We start from the raw sequence: 4622 nt of genomic DNA, 5'->3' as shown, positions 1-4622 counted from the left end.
TCCTCTCAGTGCTGGTTTTTATAACTCGGCCTGTTCTCCAGCATGGCAGGGAGATGGATGATGTTCAGAATATGGAGGTGAATTATGTATTTCTCCTTGAGTGACTAAATGTTGTGTTTATTGTATTAATGATAATGGCTTATATTTACAGGAAGCAAGTGATAAATGTTTGTGACTCATTTTATATCTACAGTTGTCTCTTGGTCTCCATGGTGGCTTGCTTTCAGGACCCCCCTCTTTAAATACCAAAGTGTGTGGAAGCTCAGGTCCTTTGTATAAAACGGCCCCGTGTTTGCATGTAACACACACACATCCTTCTGTATACTTTAAATCTAGATTGCTTATAATACCTAATATAATGTAAATGTTATGCACCGTTATTATACTATATTGTTTTTATTTGTACTTTTTTTGTTGTGTTTTTACAATATTTTTGATCTCCGGTTGGTTGAATCTACGGAAGAAGAAACTGTGGATACAGAGAGTCAACTCTATCTTTCACCATGCTACAATATATATTGTCTAACTGGTAGGGTCTGAATGTTTGTGTCCCCCAAAACTCCTATGTTGAAATCCTAACTTCCAAGATGATGGTATTAGGCTTTGGGAAGGTGATTAGGTCATGAGGGTGGAGTCCTCATTAATGAGATTAGTGACCCAATAGAAGAGGTCCCAGGCGGCTCTCTTGTCCCTTCAGCCATGCAAGATTACAGGCAGAAGGCAGCCATCAATGAACCAGGAAGAGAGTCCTCAATAGACTTCCTTGTTCATGAACTTCCAGAATTGTGAGGAATACCTATCTGTTGTTTGTAAGCCACCCAGCCTAACTACTTTGCTATAGCAACCTGAATAGACTGGTTCTAACTTTATTTAATAGACAAAGAAACTGATGCTCGAGGAAATCGAAAGACTTATCTAAGGTCACTCAATTTTTATGTAAACCACCTCTCTGGATCCCCAATCCATATCCTTGTATTCATATTCTGTAATATTTGATGTTTCATTGCAGGCTTTCAGGCCTCAAACTTTTCCTGAGTGTCGTTTCTTCAAAAAGAGTCAACACCAGGATAGTAAAATTTCCTCCCACTTCCCCTTCCAGCACATTGTCCATGGTCAAAGATGTCGTGAAAAACAAATTAAAATGAAGTCCAGTCCTACCCCTGCTGTTCTCTGTGTGAACCTGCGTTCATGGCTTCACTTCCTGGAGCGTCCGCCTGCATGTGCAAAGTGAGGGCATTGGTGCTGTGTGCTCTGAGCACGCTGTATGTCAGTAACACTGTGTTACTCCATTCTGCAAGGCCATGTTCTATGAGATGGAATCATCTGTATAAAAGGCTTGTCCCTGTGGGAAGAAGTTCCCAGGCACTAGGAGGAGCTTTCAATGACCTGGATAGCTAGAATCTAAGAGGCCAAGAACAAAGTTGTTTGAGGGCAAGGGTTCAATTGGATACTCCTCTATTCACACCATAAACTCCCCAAAGTGACTTCCGCTCTAAATTCTGTGATGTTTATATCATAATTTTTCATTTGCATTATGTCCCTTGCTAGCATTATTTGAGTGATACTTTTTAAATAAATATAACATATACCTTTGTTTTCCTAGCATCTGTTGTACCTATATAAGTTCAGCAATGTGAGCCTGATTTAACAGAAGCATCAATGCCAACATCAATGCTGATAGAACTTAAGGTTTCTGGTTTGATCAGTATAGTACTTACCCTTAAAGAGATTGTAGTAAAATGGCAGAGACAAACATTGATACAATTTACCATGACACAGGTAGTAAGTGCAATATTAGCAATAGGCACCAAGTGTTTAGGGCACATAAAGGACACACTCCTGAGCCCATCCCATGTCCCAGAGTGTTGCATTATCTGGAAGGCTGACTTTAAGCTCCATTTTTCACATCCACATTCAGTGTATCTTTTTGTTTTCTCTCACCTATTGTCATTGCTTCATACCCCGTTGCCTTCTCTGTGCTCCGCACTGAACACAACACGCCTCCTCCTGCTGCTGGCTATGCTCCTTAGCCATGACAGCCATGACACTCAGATGTGGCTCCAGAGCCTCCCCCTACCAAGTCTGCATCAATGCTCTGAAGCCCCCACTCCCCCGGGAGAGGCAGCTAATCCGAAAATAGGGCTTAAAACACTGTCTCTAGAACCAGCCTCTCTGGCATCCCCACTTACCAGCTCTGCAACAAAGAGCAAGATCATTATCTATGGCTCAGTTTCTTCATCTGTGCTCGTAATGTTTATGTCTTCAAATTAATATGCAGATCAAATGTACTGAATGTGTGCAGCAGTCGGAGCAACACCTGGCACTCAGTGACTACAGTGTACATGCATAGCTCTATACTATCTTTTCTATCAAGAGACAAGTCCAGAAGAAAATACTGGACCCCGAGGAATGCCAATAAGTAAAGAAGAGCAGTGACAAAGGACCCAAAAGATGGCCCAAACAGAGAGGGAATCGTTAAAACAGAGAAGGGAATGAAACATTTTGGGAAGAAGGAAGAAAATGTTTTTACGAAGCTAGCACATACTGCAAAGAGCTCAATAAGGTAAAGACTGATAATAGTTCATTGGTGAAGGTGTAAAGAAGACATCGGTGGTCATGGCAAGAAGAGCTCAGGACATGTGCTGGAAGGAGAAGCCACATTGCTTTCATTTGTGGAGAACCTGGGGTGTAGATTTATCATGTGTGTCTGAAGTTTGAATTGAAAAGGATGGAGAGAAGATGGTTAATAGTGAAAAGAGAATAAATATTCGGGACAAGGATGTTGATGATTAGAGACTGAAGAGAATGAACATGTGGTGTAGCCGAGTTTGAAGAGACAGTAGTATAAAGTATTAGTCTAGTCTTTATTTTGCCTGCTTCTTAAACTGGTCATGATGAAAAGCATCTGGTTTGGACTAAAAATCTGCACATGGGAATTCTAAATCCACACATTCCTAGCAGTCAGATCCAGCGCCCATCAGTTCATTTATCCATATCCTTATTTAAAAAACATTTCTGAGTGCTTACTCTGTGACGGACATTGTTCCATGTAGTAGAGATACATCATGAAACAAAGAGCAGAACAAAGCAAATTTCCCTGGCTATCCCAGGGATTAGTGATATCAAGCTAAGTAAAGTTCCCAAACCAGTAGAATAATCAGACCCATTTTAGAAAGTTTTGTTTCAGTATTGGAAGTGCTTTGATTACATAAGTACCAGGTGCTTCTTTAGACATTTTGTTATCAGAAAAAATAAAGAAGAAAAGAAAATAGAGTTATTTACTTGCCTGCTTCCCTCTCAGGGTGGTTATAAAGGTCACTAAAAAGGGATTTCTTTGTAAATGATAAAAGACTAAGTAATGGTAGAAGGTTTTGTTTTATGATAACAACAACAGTCATGAGAAGAGGGTCATATTCCAACACCTGTTGCTTATTATGCAAAGTAGTATAGTGGAAAGAGGACTGAATTAGAAATTGGAACTACATTTTCAGAATGAGCTCTTCCCATTGAGGCCGCATGGACTTGGTTTTACTGGGTATCTGTCATTGCCTTGTCATCCAGCATCAGGAACTTCTCCTTGTGTTTAAGGGAGTCCCTTCTGCATGGGTGGCAATGAGAGACAGACACTCAGAGAGGAAGAAGGTCACTGGTTCTCCCCTTTCCTCTGCCCTGAGATGGCGCACAGTGTCCCTATTCACTGTAGCAGTGGAAGTACAGCGTCACCGTTCACTGCAGCGGTGGAGGTACAGCGTCACCGTTCACTGCGGGGGTGGAGGTACAGCGTCACCGTTCACTGCGGGGGTGGAGGTACAGCGTCACCGTTCACTGCGGGGGTGGAGGTACAGCGTCACCGTTCACTGCGGGGGTGGAGGTACAGCGTCACCGTTCACTGCGGGGGTGGAGGTACAGCGTCACCGTTCACTGCGGGGGTGGAGGTACAGCGTCACCGTTCACTGCGGGGGTGGAGGTACAGCGTCACCGTTCACTGCGGGGGTGGAGGTACAGCGTCACCGTTCACTGCGGGGGTGGAGGTACAGCGTCACCGTTCACTGCGGCGGTGGAGGTACAGCGTCACCGTTCACTGCGGGGGTGGAGGTACAGCGTCACCGTTCACTGCGGCGGTGGAGGTACAGCGTCACCGTTCACTGCGGCGGTGGAGGTACAGCGTCACCGTTCACTGCGGCGGTGGAGGTACAGCGTCACCGTTCACTGCGGCGGTGGAGGTACAGCGTCACCGTTCACTGCGGCGGTGGAGGTACAGCGTCACCGTTCACTGCGGCGGTGGAGGTACAGCGTCACCGTTCACTGCGGGGGTGGAGGTACAGCGTCACCGTTCACTGCGGGGGTGGAGGTACAGCGTCACCGTTCACTGCGGCGGTGGAGGTACAGCGTCACCGTTCACTGCGGCGGTGGAGGTACAGCGTCACCGTTCACTGCGGCGGTGGAGGTACAGCGTCACCGTTCACTGCGGCGGTGGAGGTACAGTCTCACTGTTCACTGTAGCGGTGGAGGTAGCAGTTCCCTTGAGGTCATGGTCCTGCTACATACGCTCCAGTAGTGCCCACTGTGGGGCAGGAGGTGGGCATCTGCTTCCCGTAGTGGGGCGTGGTTAGGGGTTTGAT

At 45.4% G+C, this 4622-nt stretch overlaps 1 annotated feature.

Moving 5' to 3' along the window:
* Positions 3423–4622: an enhancer, noted in NCBI's record as "BRD4-independent group 4 enhancer chr2:6378134-6379333 (GRCh37/hg19 assembly coordinates)". NCBI's record gives its function as "activates an origin of replication core promoter dependent on BRD2, P300/CBP, MED14 and CDK7 cofactors, and independent of BRD4, by STARR-seq in HCT116 cells {active_cell/tissue: HCT116}" and the evidence as "EXISTENCE:reporter gene assay evidence [ECO:0000049][PMID:35650434]".

The sequence above is a fragment of the Homo sapiens genome, chromosome 2 (assembly GCF_000001405.40).
Source record: "Homo sapiens chromosome 2, GRCh38.p14 Primary Assembly".
NCBI classification, from domain to species: domain Eukaryota; kingdom Metazoa; phylum Chordata; class Mammalia; order Primates; family Hominidae; genus Homo; species Homo sapiens.
This window is presented reverse-complemented; position numbering and strand designations above follow the sequence as displayed.